The 19,234-nt window shown below is 42.5% G+C and overlaps 2 annotated features.

Moving 5' to 3' along the window:
• Positions 868–1,482: an enhancer, noted in NCBI's record as "OCT4-NANOG-H3K27ac hESC enhancer chr7:137928082-137928696 (GRCh37/hg19 assembly coordinates)". NCBI's record gives its function as "activates a minimal SCP1, AML or CMV promoter by ChIP-STARR-seq in naive and primed H9 embryonic stem cells {active_cell/tissue: H9 hESC(naive and primed)}" and the evidence as "EXISTENCE:reporter gene assay evidence [ECO:0000049][PMID:30033119]".
• Positions 10,214–10,612: a silencer, noted in NCBI's record as "fragment chr7:137937428-137937826 (GRCh37/hg19 assembly coordinates)". NCBI's record gives its function as "represses an EF-1alpha promoter that drives an FKBP-Casp9 reporter gene in an ReSE screen in phorbol 12-myristate 13-acetate-treated (for megakaryocytic differentiation) K562 erythroleukemia cells {active_cell/tissue: K562(+PMA)}" and the evidence as "EXISTENCE:reporter gene assay evidence [ECO:0000049][PMID:32094911]".

The following is a 19,234-nucleotide window of genomic DNA, read 5'->3' on the forward strand; positions in this document are numbered from 1 at the left end:
AGATGGGGTTTCACTATGTTGGCCAGGCTGGTCTTGAACTCCTGACCTTGTGATCTACCCATCTCGGCCTCCCAGAGTGCTGCGATTACACGCGTGAGCCACCGTGCCCGGCCTGTGATTTTTTTTTTTTTTTTCAGATGGAGTTTTGCTCTTGTTGCCTAGTCTGGAGTGCAATGGCGTGATCTCGGCTCACTGCAACCTCCCTCTCCCGGGTTCAAGCGATTCTGCCTCAGGCTCCCGAGTAGCTGGGATTACAAGTGTGCACCACCATGCCCAGCTAATTTTTTTACTATTTAGTAGAGAAGAGGTTTCACCGTTTTGGCCAGGCTGGTCTCGAATTCCTGACCTCAACTATCAGCCCACCTTGGCCTCCCAAAGTGCTGGGATTACAAGCGTGAGCCACCGCGCTAGGCCTATAATGTGGTTTTTCTTTTTTAATGGCATACCACATAATAAAATATAAGGCATCTCTCAAAAACACTTTGATAGAGCCATTAGTGACATAAAAATGCTAATGATCACTAATATTCAGTGAAATAAGATAAAAATCAAAAATGTATATTTAATACGTTCTCACATAAAATAAAAGTATACAGATGCAATTGGAAAGAAACACAATTCAACCAACAGTTATTTTTCTCATCTCTGGGTGATGTGATTCTCAAATGTAAATTATTTTCTTGTACATTCTGTTTTCCAGTTTTTCTAACTTGAAGATACTTTGAAATTAGAAAACTTGTTACCTTTAAGTTAAAAATGGTTTTTCATTTAAAAGAAAAAAGCTTTCAAGATAAAGATCTTTTTATTAACAAGTTTGTCTCCTGGACAGGAGAGGATTAAAGGAAAATAAAACAACGGCAACAAAAAACAAAATGAAAAAGTTTGTTTGATTTTTGTCTGTGTTTGCATTACTACTTGTTTCTGTTACCTATAAATGATTTAAGAATTTGAATCAATTCCTAAGTAACATTTTAGACCAGTTCTTACCTGTGATTTGGAAACATTTAAAGCACTGAAATGAGGAAATCACTCCAGAGTGAATGGAAGGATATCAGCCACTGCAAATGTCTGTCTAATCTTGGGACGTTGAACCAGTTTACAGAGTTGCAGGGGGAGCCAAAACCTTGCCGTAATCCTACCATTCACTGGCTGTGAGTAATGACCATCTGCTGGGGACTGGAGAGGACCCAGCCCAGTCAGTTTGACTGCCTTGGTTTGCATGATAAAGGAAGGTCACAGAAAGTCAATAGGATTGAGAGCAACTCTCCAGGTGGTGGAAGCGATCTGCAGGCAACCGGCAGAAATGGCTTCCACTCTACGACTGCAGCTCTGTAAAGAATTCTCTCTCTTTGGACATCACTCTTCTTCAAAAGGATGTTACAAAATCAAATAAAAGTGAAATTCGAAAACTACACTCTTTAGGTGGGCTTAGGTTTTTTGTGTTTTGTGTTTGGTTTTCTTCATTATTACATGGAGAAGAGGGGTGAAAGAAATATATAGAATGTGCTTTTTCTTTTTGGATCTCAAGGGGCAAAGAGTTTATCAGATTCTTCAGATAATAGTTTATTATCACCATAGACCAATGAAAGCTGTCTTTTCTTCTGTTTAATTATAAAAACATTTCCTCCTTTAGACCCAAAGTCAACTCCCACTCCCTTCCTCCTTCCCATTCTAATGTGCTGGCAAATGTTCTTAAATATACATATGTTTTAGGAATGAATAGTCAACTAAGTCCTCTTAACTTTTCTTTTTTCTTTTCTTTTCTTTTTTTTTTTTTTTTTTTTTTTTTTTTTTTTTTTTTTTTTTTTTGAGATGTAGTGTTTTTTTGCAGCCCAGGCTAGAGTGCAGTGACGCAATCTCAGCTCACTGCAACCTCTGGCTCCTGGGTTCAAGCAATTCTCCTGCCTCAGCCTCCCAAGTAGCCTCCTGAATAGCAGGCACCCACCACCACACCCGGCTAATTTTTGTATTTTTAGTAGAGATGAGGTTTCACCATGTTGGCCAGGCTGGTCTCAAACTCCTGACCTCAGGTGATCCACCTGCCTCGGCCTCCCAAAGTGCTGGGATTACAGGCGTGATCCACTGCGCCCGGTCAGTCCTCTTAACTTTCTTACATGTTTATTACAATTTCCTGACAATTTTTATAAATTTCAGATATTCTGCTACTTGGATAACGTCAATTATCCATAGAAAAGTTTGTCCAAACAACAGTCAGCATTACCAAGACACCTAGAAAAGCTCCGCTTACTCAAAAAAATGCTGCCCGTGGAATGGTCGATCAGACAAGAGCAAACACAAGACACATCACTAATTCATTCAACAAGTCTTTGCTGAGTTCTTGCATTGTCTAGCCAAGACTGGGCCTAGCAACTGATAACAAATCTTGGTTGCAGTTCAGGCTCTGCCACTTATCAGCTGCACGAATTTGTGAAATCACTGAAATTCTTGATATCTAAGGTCTCCTCATATGTAAAGGGAGAAAAACAAAACCCACCCTACCTCCTTGGAAAGATTGTTTTGAGGATAAAATTTAATGGGCATAGAGGAAATCACAGTGGAAATATAAAGCACCATAAAACTTTCGTTTATTATTTTGTTGATGTTGCTAAAAGAGAGAAAGAGAGCAGATATGAGGGGAAACGGGATGAGAATTGGAAGGAGTCGCTGAGGAACCTTAGCCATGGCTACACTGGCCAGGTGTGGCCAAACTGATGAAAACTGACACAACGAAACACTTCGAAAGAACTAAAGACCTTGAAAGGATGATCACAATCTCAGTCTTGACTGTTGATAGAAAAACTGTGATGGAAAAGTGAAATGAAACTAGAGGTCAATCAACAGCAGGCAGCTCCAAATTTTCTCCTAGTCCTAACTTGGAGATATTGCTGGAGATCCCCTGTTGTGGAAGGCAGGAGCAGGATATCTCATGAGCAATGTCATCTGTTTGCCCAGATCCAGGGTCAGAATTCTTGTTAGTATGGTTAGTGTAAGCAAACACCCACAGGAGTGGGAGAAACTGTGGAGTGGGGTTGGGAGCTGTAATAAAGCTCCTATAGAAAGAACACACCATAAATACATGAGCCAAAAGCAATTAGTTTATCTAAAGAAAGGAGAAAAAAATAAATAGGGATGTTAAGCATGTATTCCCTGTCATAAAAAAAAAAAAATCAAGTAAAAAATGAAAATAAAATACATTGTTGCACTGATTTATCTCTAAATGGGTAGTAGACCAAACATTTATTCCCCATATTTTTTTAAAAAAAGTGAAAATGAAAATAAAAAGGGTCATTGCGACCTTGAAAGCATTATGCTGAGTGAAATAAGCCAGACACCAAAGGACAAATATCATGTGATTCCACTTAAATGAAATATCTGGATAGGCAAATACATAGAGGCAGCAAGTACATGAGAGACTGGGGGTAGGTGTGCTGGAGAGTATTGCTTAATCAGTACAGAGTCTCTGTTTGGAGTGATGAAAACATTGTGGAAATGGACAGTGGTGATGATTGCACAACATTGTGAATGTATTTTAGCTCAGCTAAATTATACACAAAATGGTTAAAAGGCAAAACTTATGTTATATATGTTTTATCACACTTTTTTAAATGGGGGGAAAGGGCACTGATTTATCTTTTCTAAATGGATAATAGACAAAACACCAGATCATAAGAATGCTTGGAATCCCAGAAGGATAAAGGGTGGTCTCTTTAAAGCATGTTGATACCAAGCTGACACAGCCTGTAGGACTATCTATCTCTAGTTCAGGATATTTCCATCTGAAGAAGCAGCAGGAGACTGTGATCACCTTGAGGGAGGGGAGCCCAATTGAATCTGGTAGCCAGTAGATATTTAATAAGCATCTCCTGAGTGGATTATCTAGAATCAAAGCTCTCTCCTGCATTTATTCAAAAATAGTCATTAAGTGCCTCTAAATTACCAGGAACTGGACTAGGTACCTGGATGCCCAGGCAAATAAAACCAAAATATTTCATTCCAAAATATATTTTCTTGACATGTTTCAAGATGGCTGTTCAGAGGGGCTGGAAATGCAAGAATAGCTGAAAAGCTGCCTTTTGTGAGCGAGATTTGCATCTGTAGAGAATCAACATTGATGCAGCCAGGCTTTCTCTGAGGCCCTCCCTTGTCTAGATCTAGGAAAGATTAACAGAAAGTCTGACGCCTTCAAGTCTGAAAGAAACATTTACCATCTATTCTCTCTGAGGGTGGCTACCTGCACAGTTTCATCTTTATAACAAGACGAACTTTGCCAGCCGGGCCTCTTCTTCTGTGCCTCTCATAACCTGTTTTGCCACCATAACCCGTTTTGCCATGACCTAAGCCCCTATTCTTTCTGTAACCTCAAGATGGTATAAAAAACCATCAGCCATTTTTCCTTTCTTTGAGATCTTATATTTTTTCCACAAGACAAACCTGCCTCTCAGCCTCATGAGAATCACTTACAATGAGCCTCAAAGAGAATAATTTACAAGTTAATTTATGTCTTTCTAGTCCATTCGTTTTCCCTTAAAATAACGTACTTCTCCTGAAAAGAATTGCCTATATTCCCCATCTCCTCCTTCCCCCTGGAGAAAGGGTATATAGGCCTCTGTACCCCACTAGGGGGTTGGGATAATCACTCTGTGGTTCTCTCCCCATACACGTTAATAAATTTGTATGCCTTTTCTTCTATTAATCTGCCTTTTGTCAGTTGCTTTTTCAGTGACCCTTCAGAGGGCTGAGAAAATAAAAAAAGCTTAGAGTGGTCTGAGCTATGGAAGGTATGCAGGCCCAGACAGACATGAGTACAGGCCTTCAGTTATGCCCCCTTTCCCTCCCACTCATGCCTGGGGGCAATTGTTTAAAGTCATTTTTGTTCCTGACTTGCTGTCTCACTCATTATCTTCATGTTCCTGGAATTTGTGATACAAACAACAATGTATAGCCATTCAATAGCTTGTTATTTTTATATAAATTCTTGGTAAACAACTCAGGAACTGCCTCTTCTTTCCCTTTAAAAATTCACTTGTAACTGCTGTTAATCAGAGTGTGTAATCAAAGCAATTTGAATCTATGGTTCCAGGTTGCAATCCTCAGGCTTGGCCCAAATAAACTCTTACATTAATCTTGCTTGCCTCCACTTCTTTTTTTTTAGGTCATCAGGGCCAAGGGAAAATTTCCCGGACTGCTCTCAAAGAGCCTACAGTCCACAGTGAGAGAGAGAGGCGCGACTAAACAGCAGGACAAAGGCTGGTGCTGACGGGCTGAGAGGCTTCAGGAGAAGGGTTAGCCAGGTAGAGGAGAATGCCTCCAGGTGAGGTACTGGGTCTGTGCAGAGGCAGGAAAGGGAAGTAACACGAGGCTGAAGGTAGAGCACGAAGAAGAGAAAGAGCTAAAAGTAGAGCAAGTGAACTTCATCAGAAAAGCAATGGAAAGATATTAAAGGGATTCAATTTGTTATAGGACTCCAGGTTCAATAGCCCATTGTGTGGTAAAAACCAATATACCAAAACAGCAGGGGTTACAGCAGAGAAAGAGTTCAATAATCATAGGGCAGCCAAACCAGGAGATGGGAGGAACCTCAAATCTGCCTGCCTGAAGAGTTTTGGACGGGTTTTTAAGAACGTTTTGGTGGGAAGAAGGATAAGGAGCTGTGATCACTGATTAGTTAGGGGGTGGGGGATGAAGTCATAACAATGTAGAAGCTGCATTCTGTGCTGAGTCAGTTCCTCGGAAGGGTTTTCAGTCTGGCAGGCATCCTCAGAATGCAGGATATGGAAAACATCTCAAATTTTAAAACCTGAGTTTTCTTAATATTAAAAATGTTATCTATAGAAACAAGGGAAGTTAGGACCTCATGACAGGGGCTATGTGACTTTTCAGCATTCAGCAACTGTAAGGAAGTGGGCTAAAAAGCTAGCTGGTTCATGCTTGACTATGCTTCTATTCAAGCTTATAATTTTGTTAAAACCTTGCAATTTTGTTTTATTAATTTCATGAGGATGGTTTCAAATTCAAGAAATAGACTGAGCATATTTTCACTTCAATAATCCAAAATATTAGTTAAATGTACCAAATGTTACTGAAGGAATTTCACTCAACTTTTACTAAGAGAGAAAGAAAGAAAAAGAATAACTTTTCTATTCTCTTTGATTTTTCCCAACAAGTGTATAAAATTTTTACAATCAGAAAAATCAGTAAAGCTATTTTCATTAAGACAAAATAGGAAGAGAAAAAAAGAAGAGGAGGGCTGGGTGCAGTGACTCACACCTATAATACCAGCACTTTGGCAGGCCAAGGCTGGAGGATTGCTTGAGCCTAGGAGCTCAAGACCAGCCTGGGCAACATAGTGAGACCCCCATCTCTACAAAAAATGGTTGAAAATTAGCCAGGCATGGTGGTACACAGCTGGGGTCCCAGCTACTCAGGAGGCTGAGGTGGGGGGATTGCTTGAGCCTGGGAGGTTGAGGCTGCAGTGAGCCATGGTTATGCCACAGCACTCCAGCCAGGGTGACAGAGCAAGACTCTGTCTCAAAAAGAGTAACAGGAAGCAAAAATAAGAAAGACTACTCTGATCAGTGTGAAAATAGATTCAGGAAGCCTTATAAAACACGTATCAGATCATGTTATTCTCTCGATATATATATATATATATATCTGTATATATCTGTATTAGGATTCCCTAGAGGGACAGAACTAATAGGATATATATATATAATATATATTTATATATAAATATAAACATATATATTAATATATTTTTATATATTATATATTATATATATTTATATTATATTAATATATTATATATTATATATAATAAATTATATAATATATATAATATATAATATATAATAACTTAATATAATAGAAATATATTATATATATTTATATATAATATATAATATAGAGATTATAGATATATGTATATCCTATTAGTTCTGTCCCTCTACAGAACCCTGACTAATACAGATTTTAGTACCAGAAGTTGTTCTAGAGAAACAGAATATTAAGGATGGAGTTTTTTCATTGATTTTGGGGCTTCCTGAGTTGGCTGCTTAATATGATTAGACCCAAAAATGCTAAAGACTCTACTTTTAATATTATAGAGAACACCGATAGTCCTGTTTAGAGAGTTATGCAAAATAAATGCATTTGACACTCCTGATTTACCACTGCTTATGAGAGGCAAGGAGTTTAGTGACTCTATACATAATACCTTTGACTATACGTGGAGAACCAAGAAACATAATGAAGTTGGTTTGTTCCCCCTAAGTTCACTGGACAAAGTGATGAAAGAAAATGATAAAGTCAGGGATTCTAATTCCCGGCTTCAGAAGCAGATACGGAGCCTCAAATCTGCTAAGATTGTCCTGAGTGAGAGTCTTATCTCCTGTAGAGAAAGAGCTGAAATTGTGAAAAAATAGGCACAAGCTCTTATCACACGAGTGGCTGACCTGCAATGAAAGGTGCATGCACAGCCTCGCCAGGTGTCCACTGTTAAAGTGAGAGCATCGATTAGAAAAGAATGGGACTCTGCAACTCGGAACGGGGATGTGTGGGAGGAGCCTGATGAAGCGGGGGACACTAAGCTTGTAAACTCTGATGAACCTTTTTTTTGCCAGAAGTAACAGCTTCCCTATCCCCAGTAGTGGCAACATCCCCTCCCCAACCCATGCTGCCATCAGACTTTCCACCTTTGTCTGAGGAGATAAACCCTATGCTGCCTGAGGCAACAGTGATAGCCTCCCCTAAGGAAATTGCCAGGCAAGATAATGTTGATTCCCCTCAGGAGCCACCCCCAACACCCCAGTTTTCTTCTAGACCTATAACTAGACTAAAGTCCCAGTGGGCCCCCAGAGGTGAGGTTCAGAGTGTGACCCATGAGGAGGTGCACTACACTCAAAAAAGAACTGCTTGAGTTTTCTAATTTATATAAGCAGAGAACAGGCATGGGAATGGATACTAAGGGTGTGGGATGATGATGGAAGGAACAGAGACTTGAATCAGACTGAATTTATTGATTTGGGCCCACTAAGTAGGGATTCTGCATTTAATGTTGCAGCTCGGGGAGTTAAAAAAGGTTCTAATAGTTTATTAGCTTCATTAGTTGAAATATGGATTAAAAGATGGTCCACTATGAGTGAGCTGGAAATGCCTGATCTCCCTTGGTTTAATGTAGAGGAAGGGATCCAAAGGCTTAGGGAGATTGGGATGGTGGAGTGGATTAGTGACTTTAGATCTACTCATCCCAGCTGAGAGGGTCCAGAAGATATACCCTTGTTCAATGCCTTGCAAAATAGATTTGTGATGGCAGCACCTGCATCTTTAAAGAGCTCTGTAATTGCTCTTCTCTGTATGTCAGATCTAACAGTGGGAACTGCATTTACTCAACTACAAAATTTAAATGTAATGGGGAATAAACGAATCCTGAGGTGGCAGAGGCCAAGTGGCAGCACTCAGCCATCAAAGGCAAGGTGGGCGTAGCTACCATAATGGACAGCAGAGACAAAGCAGCAATCAAAATAGTCTGACTCACGTACAGCTCTGGCATTGGCTAATTAATCACGATGTTCCTAGAAGTGAAATTGATAGGAAGCCATCTGCATTCCTACTTAATTTATATAAGCAGAAAACTTCTAGGTCGAATGGACTAATTTGAATTATAAAAACAGAATCATGTTCCCTCAATCAATTTCCAGACTTGAGCCAGTTTACAGACCCAGAACCTGTTGAATGAAGGGTCCTGTCGAATGCTGTTTACAGACCCAGAACCCGTTGAATGCTGGGTCCCCTTGAGGAAGGACCCCACTACACTACTGACAATTTATGCTGTTAATCTTTTTTTTTTCTTTTTTTTTTTTTGAGACGGAGCTTCACTCTGTCACCCAGGCTGGAGTGCAGAGGCATGATCTCTGCTCATGCAACCTCTGCCTCCCAGGTTCAATTGATTCTCCTGCCTCAGCCTCCCAAGTGGCTGGGATTACAGGCATGTGCCACTATGCCCAGCTAATTTTTGTCTTTTTAGTGAGATGGGGTTTCACCATGTTGGCCAGGCTGGTTTCGAACTCACCTGACCTCAGGTGATCCACCCACCTTGGCCTCCCAAAGTGCTGGGATTACAGGTACAAGCCACCACACTCGGCCCAATTTATGCTGTTAATCTTTCTCCCGTCTCCACGGAGACCTCTGGCCTTTTACTAGGGTAACTGTGCATTGGGGAAAGGGAAATGATCAGACATTTTGAGAATTACTGGACACTGGCTCTGAGCTGACACTGATTACAGAGGACCCAAAACGTCACTGTGGTCCTCCAGTTAAAGTAGGGGCTTAGGCGGGGTCAGGTAATTAATAGAGTTTTAGCTCAGGTTCAACTTACAGTGGGTCCAGTGGGTCCCCAGGCTCATCCTGTGGTCAATTCCTCAGGGCCAGAGTGCGTAATTGGCATAGACATACTTAGCAGCTGGCAGAACCCCCACATTGGCTCCCTGACTGGTAGGGTGAGGGCTATTATGGTGGGAAAGGCCAAATGGAAGCCATTAGAGCTGCCTCTACCTAGAAAAATAGTAAATCAAAAACAATATCACATCCTTGGAGGGACTGTGGAAATTAGTGCCACCATTAAGGACTTGAAAGACACAGAGGCGGTGACTCCCACCACATCCCCATTCAACTCTCCCATTTGGCCTGTGCAGAAGACAGATGGATCTTGGAGAATGACAGTGGATTATTGTAAACTTAACCAAGTGGTGACTCCAATTGCAGCTGCTGTACCAGATGTGGTTCATTGCTTGAGCAAATCAACACATCTCCTGGTACCTGGTATGTAGCCATTGACTTGGCAAATGCCTTTTTCTCCATTGGCATCCATAAGGCCCACCAGAAGCCATTTGCCTTCAGCTGGCAAGGCCAGCAATATGCCTTTAGTGTCCTACCTCAGGACATATCAACTCTCTGGCTTTGTGTCATAATCTTATTCAGACAGACCTTGATTACTTTTTGCTTCTGCAAGATATCACAATGTTCCATTACATTGATGACATTATGCTGATTAGATCCATTGAGCAAACACACTGGACTTATTGGTAAGACATTTGCATGCCAGAGGATGGGAAATAAATCTGACTAAAATTCAGGGACCTTCTACTTCAGTAAAATTTCCAGGAGTTTAATGGTTTGGGGCCTCTGGAGATAGGCCTTCTAAGGTGAACGATAAGTTGCTTCATTTGGCCCCTCTTACAACCAAGAAAGAGACACAATGCCTAGTGGGCCTATTTGGATTTTGGAGGCAACACATTCCTCATTTGGGTGTGTTACTCCAGCTCATTTATTGAGTAATCCGAAAAGCTGCCAGGTTTGAGTGGAGTCCAAAAGAAGGCTCTGCAGCAGGTTCAGGCTGCTGTGCAAGCTGCTCTGCCATTTGGGCCATATGACCCAGCAGATCCAATGGTGCTTGAGGTGTCAGTGGCAGATAGGGATGCTATTTGGAGCCTTTGGAACGCCGCCATTGGTGAATCACAGCGGAGGCCTCTAGGATTTTGGAGCAAGGCTCTCCTGTCTTCTGCAGATAACTACTCTCCTTTTGAGAGGCAGCTCTTGGCCTCTTACTGGGCTTTGGTGGAAACTGAACGTTTGACGGTGGGTCATCAAGTCACCCTGCGACCTGAACTGCCTATCATGAATTGGGTGCTTTCTGACCCATCTAGCCATAAAGTTAGTGGTGCACAGCAGCGTTCCATCATCAAATTGAAGTGGTATATACATGATTGGGTTCGAGCAGGTCCTGAAGGCACAAGTAAGTTACATGAGGAAGTGGCTCAAATGCCTATGGTCTTCCTTCCTGCCACCCTGCCTTGTCTCCCCTAGCCTGCACCGATGGCCTCATGGAGAGCTCCCTATGATCAGTTGAAAGAGAAAAAGAAGACTAGGACTTGGTTCACAGATGGTTCTGCATGATATGCAGGCACCACCGGAAAGCAGACAGCTGCAGCACTACAGTCCCTTTCTAGGACATCCCTGAAGGACAACAGTGAAGGAAAATCTTCCCAGTGGGCATTACTTTGAGCAGTGCACCTGGTTGTGCACACTGCATGGAAGGAGGATGGCCGGATGTGCGATTACGTACTAATTCATAGGCTGCAGTCAAGGGTTTGGCTGGATGGTCAGGGACTTGGAAGAAGGATGATTGGAAAATTGGTGACAAAGAAATTTGGGGAAGAGGTATGTGGATGGACGTCTCTGAGTGGTCAAAAACTGTGGAGTTATTTGTATCCCATGTGAGTGCTCACCAAAGGGTGACTTCAGCAGAGGAGGATTTTAATAATCAAGTGGATAGGATGACTCATTCTGTGGACACCACCCAGCCTCTTTCCCCAGCCACCTCTGTCATCACCCAATGGGCCCATGAACAAAGTGGCCACGGTGGTAGGGATGGAGGTCATGCATGGGCTCAGCAACATGGACTTCCACTCACGAAGGCTGACCTGGCTACGGCCACTGGTGAGTGCCCAATTTGCCAGTAGCAGAGACCAATACTGAATCCTCAATATGGCACCATTCCTAGGGGGGATCAGCCAGTTACCTGGTGGCACGTTGATTATATTGGACCTCTTCCATCATGGAAAGGGCAGAGGTTTGTCTTCACTGGAATAGAAACTTACTCTGCATATGGATTTGCCTATCCTGCATGCAATGCTTCTGCCAAGACTACCATCCGTGGACTCACATCCTTATCCATCATCATGGTATTCCACACAGCATTGCCTCTGATCAAGACACTCACTTTACGGCTAAGGAAGTGAAGCAGTGGGCTCATGCTCATGGAATTCCCTGGTCTTACCATGTTCCCCGTAATCCTGAAGCAGCTGGATTGATAGAACGGTGGAATAGCCTTTTGAAGTCACAATTACAATGCCAACTAGGTGACAATACTTTTCAAGTCTGGGGCAAAGTTCCCCAGAAGGCCATGTATGCTCTGAATCAGCATCCAATACATGGTACTATTTCTCCCATAGCCAGGATTCACAGGTCCAGGAATCAAGGGGTGAAAGTGGAAGTGGCACCACTCACCATCACCCCTAGTGATCCACTAGCAAAGTTTTTGCTTCTTATTTCCGCGACATCTACTAGTCTAGAGGTCACAGTTCCAGAGGGAGAAATGCTGCCACCAAGAGACACAACAAAGATTGCCACGTGGACACTTTGGGCTCCTCCTATCTTTAAGTCAACAGGCTAAAAAGGGAGCTACAGTGTTGGCCGGAGTGATTGACCTGAGCTATCAAGATGAAGTCAGTCTACTGCTCCACAATGGAGGTAAGGAAGGGTATGCACAGAATACGGGAGATCCACTAGGGCATCTCTTTGTATTACCATGCCCTGTGATAAAGGTCAATGGGAAACTATACAACAGCCCAATCCAGGCAGAACTACAAATGGCCCAGACCCTTCAGGAATGAAAGTTTGGTCACTCCACCAGGAAAAAAACACAACCTGCTGAGTTGCTTGCTGAAGGCAAAGGGAATACAGAATGGGTAGTAAAGAAGGTAGTCATTAATACCAGCTATGACTATGTGACCTGTTGCAGAAAGGAAAACTGTAATTGTCATGAGTATTTCCTTCTTCCTTTGTTAAAAACATGGTTGTGCATGTATACACTTGTACTTGGAAAATATCTTCATTTTATTTCCTTTTTCCTTTATCATGTGACATAAGATTTATTGACTTCATATCAGTATTTAAGTATTGTTAACTTTATGTAATAGCATTTGGGTTGAGGATTGGTGCATTTCTGGTTGTAAGAAGGACAGTTGTATTATGTTAGTCATAATTATGACTTTATTATTGTCTTTATCTTAAGATTATGTACAATCTCAGGAGATGTGTATGGGTTCCAGTTGACAAGGGGTGGACTTGTGATGGTTAATATTGTGTCAACTTGATTGGATTGAAGGATGCAAAGTATTGATCCTGGGTGTGTCTGTGAGTATGTGGCTGAAGGAGATTAACATTTGAGTCAGTGGGCTGGGAAAGGCAGACCCACCGTTAATCTGGGTGGGCACCATCTAATCAGCTGCCACTGCAGGCAGAATATAAAGCAGGCAGAAAAACATGAAAAGACTAGACTGGTTTAGCCTCTGAGACTACACCTTTCTCCCATGCTGAATGCTTCCTGCCCTCAAACACTGAACTCCATGTTCTTCAGCTTTGGGACTCAGACTGGCTTCCTTGCTCTTCAGCTTGCAGATGGCCTATTGTGGGACCTTGTGATCATGTGAGTTAATACTACTTAATAAACTCCCCTTCATATATATATACACACATATATATATATTCTATTAGTTCTGTCCCTCTAGACAACCCTGATTAATACAGACCCTCTGTCTTAGCTCCTTGACAGATACATGGACATGCCTTATAATTATCTCAATTATCTCCTCTCTGTCTTCTGAGGGATTTCTTTTTTTTTTCTCTCTCTCTTTTGAGGCGGAGTCCCGCTCTGTTGCCCAGGCTGGAGTGCAGTGGTGTGATCTTGGCTCACTGCAAGCTCCACCTCCCAGGTTCACACCATTCTCCTGCCTCAGCCTCCCGAGTAGCTGGGGCTACAGGTGCCTGCCACCACACCTGGATAATTTTTTTTGTATTTTTAGTAGAGTTGGGGTTTCACCATGTTAGCCAGGATGGTCTCAATCTCCTGACCTTGTGATCTGCCCACCTCAGCCTCCCAAAGTGCTGGGATTACAGGCGTGAGCCACCATGCCTGGCCCCGGGATTTCTTAATTAATTTCAGAGGTAGATGTTTATGGTTGCAAGGACCAGATGGCTCATGTCTTAGCAGCATAAAAGCCAAAGATGGGGCCTCACATTAGGTCTATTATGTTTTCAAGGAGACACACTAAGGAAAGGAGGATCAGGTGGCAACTACTTCCCTCCTCAAAGAAAATTTCAGCATCTTATCCTTATAAAGCATAAATGTTCAATATGATGTTGGATATGTAAGTCTGGAACTCTGGAGACAAAATTGAGAATTATAAGTATTTTATGCTATTCAAATGTCAGAAACACACTGGCAGAATTTCCTTCATCTAAACTGAAGCAGTCTGGGGTTACTGGAGCAGTCTTGTTGCTTGATGTACTACCCAGAATTCTTTGTCTCACGACCATGAAAATTAAAGAGCATGGACACCAAGGGTGAGGTTGGAGCAAAAGTTTAATAAGTGAAAGAAGAAAGCTCTCTGCAGCAGAGAGGTGGCCCAAGAGGGTTGTCGTTTCACAGCTGGATGTAAATGCTTTTATAAACAAGCTAATTGGGGCCAGGCACTGTGGCTCACACCTGTAATCCCAGCACTTTGGGAGGTGGAGGCAGATGGATCACCTGAGGCCAGGAGTTTGAGACCAGTCTGGCCAACATACAGTGAAACCCCATCTCTACTAAAAAACACAAAAGTTAGCTGGGCATGGTGGCGCATGCCTGTAGTCACAGCATTTGGGAAGCTGAGGCAGGAAAATCACTTGAACCCGGGAGGCAGAGGTTGCAGTGAGCCGAGATTGCCCCACTGCACTCCAGCCTGGGTGACAGAGAAAGACTCCCTCTCTCAAATAAAATAATTAAAAAAAAAAAAAAAGTTGGCTGGGTGCAGTGGCTCATGCCTGTAATCCCAGCACTTTGGGAGACTGAGGCGGGTGGATCACAAGATCAAGATATTGAGACCATCCTGGCTAACACGATGAAACCCCATCTCTACTAAAAAATACAAATATATATATATATATATATCAGCTGGGCATGGTGGCAAGTGCCTGTAGTCCCAGCTATCCGGAAGGCTGAGGCGGGAAAATGGTGTGAACCCAGGAGGTGGAGCTTGCAGTGAGCCGAGATCGCACCACTGCACTCCAGCCTGGGCGACAGAGCAAGACTCCATATCGAAATAAATAAATAAATTAAATTAAATTAAAAATACACAAGTTAATTGGGCAGGGTGTTTCATCTGCATAGGGTACGAAAAACTAGTTAGGGCTGGGTGTCGAGTTGGATAAGGCATGAATTCTTGTTAGTTCCACCCCACCCCTCTAGTGTGCATGTGGGTCCTAAGCCTGAGTTACTCCATATTCTTTCATTTCCCTTACTGCACACGTGTCAGGAGATGGAATTTTCCACCGCCGACGTGTCTGGTTCTACGTAACATTTTTATCTATACAGCTGCAGGCCTGTCTTAGGAAAGCCCCCTTGTGCAAGTTCCCTTATCTGAGTATGCCCAAAAAGGAAAGGAATGTGCTCAAGGAACCCATCGTATATAACTGGAGCTAGCTGGTTGCACAAGAGATAAAGGTGTTGGATCTTGCTTCCTTATCTGCACTTACAGCTTGATTTCTTCCAGGTTGCTCTTTTGATAAAAGGACTTCTACCACGGGACTTGTCCTAACTATTTGCCTAACCAGTTCCTTCCTCTCTCTTCCCTCAAAATGACCATGTTTAACATGACTCAAAAGTCATCAAAAACTCTTTCATTATGCTTCCTCCTGCTTGAGTTTGCAAGATTATGAAACTGCCTTTGAAAAACATTCTAACTGAGACAATGATTACAGTGAAAGAGATCTGACCTAACTGACTCCATCCTGTCCGTAACCTCCAAGCTGTCCTTGTCCATTCTTGGGGGTAGGCCAAACTAACTTTGGGAATAATTTAGTTTATGGTTTAGCTTTGAAACAAAAGTGATAACAGCCATTTCCCAAAACAAACTCCCTTCTTGTCTGGGGACAAGACTGCCTTTGCAGAACTAACAAATTAGCCACAAGATAAGAAATTATGATTTAGGAGTCATGCAGCTGGAGGCTGCAAGATTCTAAACCTACCCAAATTGCTCCTGGGGATAGCATCACTACTGTAAAACCTAAGATCAGTGCTTCAGATATTTTGCAGCTCCTGCACTTGATGGATCAGCCGGCACCACCCAGACAGATAATCCCACTCATCTGGTCTTGTGGCCCCTTCCCAGGAAGTGACTCAGTGCAAGAGGACAGCTTCGACTCCTATGATTTCATCTCCAATCTGAGTAATCAGAACCTCGGATTCACTGCCCCCCACCCACCCACCCACCAAATTATCATTAAAAACTCCTATCCTTGGCCGGGTACGGTGGCTCATGTCTGTAATCCCGGCACTTTGGGAGGCTGAAGCGGGCGGATCACCTGAGGTCGGGAGTTTGAGACCAGCCTGACCAACATGGAGAAACCCCGTCGCTACTAAAAATACAAAATTAGCCGGGCGTGGTGGCGCACATCTGTAATCCCAGCTACTCAGGAGGCTGAGGCCGGAGAATCGCTTGAACCTGGGAGGCAGAGGTTGCAGTGAGTCGAGATTGTGCCATTGCGCTTCAGCCTGGGCAACAAGAGCGAAACTCCGTCTCAAAAACAAAAGAAAACAAGAAACTTTTGTCCTCAAATTGTCAGGGAGATTGATTTGAATAATAACAAAACTTCAGTCGCCCACACAGCCAGCTCTGTGTGAATTACTTTTCCTGTATCACAATTCACCTGTCTTGACAAATCAGCTCTGTCTAGGAAGCAGACAAGATGAACCCGTTGGGCAGTTACAATTCACTTCAGTTTGTTCTGTTGGTTGGTTTGTTTAAGTATGAAAAACATTGCTTTGTTTTTTCGTTTCAGAATCTTTGAGTCCACGTGGAGGAAGGAAGGAGAAGAGGAGAAGACTGTTTTCCAGGATGGAAAGGGAGCCTCGCTTTCTCTTTAGGTGGATTACAGAAATTGGTTGAATTCTCCCTGCCCTGGAGAAAAGTCAATTTATTTTTTATGTTAAAGATTTAGGCTCTTCCTGAGGGCTACTATGAAAGAAAAGTAGGGAAGCGAGCTTTTATTTTGAGAACAAAGAGTGAGCCAAGAGTGTAAAGTTGATAAGAGGGTAGAAGGGAGTAGATGAAGGGGGAGGGGAAAAGAAATGGCCAAAGGGGAACTGGCCAAGAGAAAGAACACTACAGGACCTTGAAATGAGTGAAGAAAATGTGTTATACCTTTTCATCCCTACAGTGTCTACATACTAATCCCCAGAAACTCTGAGTGTCACCTTATAGTGCAAAGGGATGTTGCAGATGCCATTGAGTTAAAGATCTTGAGTTAGGAAGATTATCCTGAATTATTGGTGTGGGCCAAATGGAATCACAACTTTCCTTATAGGAGGGAGGCAGAACTTTGATGTAAACAGAAAAGAAGAATGCTTTACCTTACCAATTTTCTACATGGTAGCCTGTAACTTGACAACATTATAAAACAACTGGCTCTAAATCAACTTGAGTTATATTTTCAGAGCTTGAGGACCCTTTGAAACTGCCCTTCCAAAATTACAACAGTGAGAGAAATCGGACATGGCTGACTCCATCTTGCTTCTAGCCTCACAGGCTGGCTGTCTTTGCTCATTCCTGGGCGTGGGTCAAGCTAACTTCCAGAGAAATTTAGTTTACAGTTTAAATAACATTAGCCCTTACCAAAAACTAAACTGTTCTTGTAAAACTAATGAAAGGCTACCAAGTTAATGAGAGGGGCTTGAATTCTAAATAATTACCAGTCATTATTCCGGAGGTCATAAGATTTGCAACTTCCCCAATTACTCTTGCAGATAACATCACTATTGTAGAACCTAAGACTGGCCTTTTGAGGTGTCTTTTCAGGTTTTTGCATTTCTTTTTTTCTTTTATTTATTTATTTATTTTTGAGATGGAGTTTTACTCTTGTTGCCCAGGCTGGAGTGCAATGGTGCAATCTCAGCTCACTACAATCTCCGCCTCCCGGGTTCAAGCGATTCTCCCAACTCAGCTTCCCCAGTAGCTGAGATTACAGGCACCCACCATCATGCCCGGCTAATTTTTTGGATTTTTGTAGAGACCAGGTTTCATCATGTTGGCCAGGCTGGTCTCAACTCCTGACCCCAGGTGATCCACCCACCTCAGCCTCCCAAAGTGCTGGGATTACAGGCGTGAGCCACCACACCCTGCCATAAGCCACATGTTGATTGCACCACTGCAGTCCAAGTCCAGCCTGGGCAATAGAGTCAGACCCCTGGCTCTTAAAAAAAAAATTTTTTTTTTTTTTAGTAAAAAAATAGAAAACCGCGTGTTAACAAACTATTTTCTTTTAAACAGTTAGCCTCTTAAAAGATTTCAGCAGAGGCTTGTATAGTGGGGGTGCTTGGTAAGAAAGAATACCTTTTTTTCTGGCTAGAGAATGGTATTTTAAAGTTTAGATTTTACTAAGTGAGAAGGAAAGCCACTGGGGAGGTTGACCAGGGCAGTGAGGTGATCTGGGTATGTTTTAAAAGGACCTCCCTGGCTTTGTGTGAAGATGAGACTCTGGGAGCAAGAGGGCAAGCTGCCAGATCTGTTCCTATAGTCCTAGCAGGAAGATGGTAGCACATCAAGGGTGGGAGTGGAGAAGAGATGCAAAGCTATTGGATCTTCATCTACTTCAACTTCATTTACTTCAACGGTGGAGACAAATAGATTTGCTGATGTATTTGCTGTAATTATGCAAATGCAAGGCAAATGTCTTCATTTTGTTCTTTCGATGGAGAGGTTAAATAATGAAGGCTGTTTCCTTGGAGTCTGTGTGTCTCTAAGGCTTGGAGAAAAAGAGCACCAAGATACCAATGGAAGTATAACCAGCAGGCCTAGCACAAGCTGAGGGCTAAGAAATTGTCCAGCCGCAGGTTATAATCTACATTAGGCTTAGACAATTAACTTCTTAATTTCCTACTTTGCTGCCAACTTGTGGTTGCTGAATAGTCCTTTCTTTCATTAGCTGGTTCTCAATTCTCATAGGACTTTCTCATCCTCACTCTCCATACTGCCTATCCAGGCAATAATCATGTAACAGACAGGTCTCAGTATTCACACCCTTGCGTAATTGTAATCCTCTCCCACATAAACTATGGCTGACCTATAAAAGGATATTGTCTATACAAAGAGAGACCTATATAAGGATAACGATAGAGTGACCTATATGAGGAATGTGTCTTTCAAGACTAAGTCATAAAAGATATTTTGGCTTCCAACTTGCTGTTTCCTGGATCACTTGCTCTGGCCATACCAGAAGACACACCTGGGATATACTCAGGCAGCCTTATGATGAGTTCCATGTGCATGTGATAAAGAGCTGAAGCCTCCTGCAAGTAGCCAGCATCAGCTCACCAAGCACATGAGTGAGCCTCCTTGGAGGCAGATTCTCCAGCCCC

Source organism: Homo sapiens, chromosome 7 (genome assembly GCF_000001405.40).
Source record: "Homo sapiens chromosome 7, GRCh38.p14 Primary Assembly".
Lineage (NCBI taxonomy): Eukaryota > Metazoa > Chordata > Mammalia > Primates > Hominidae > Homo > Homo sapiens.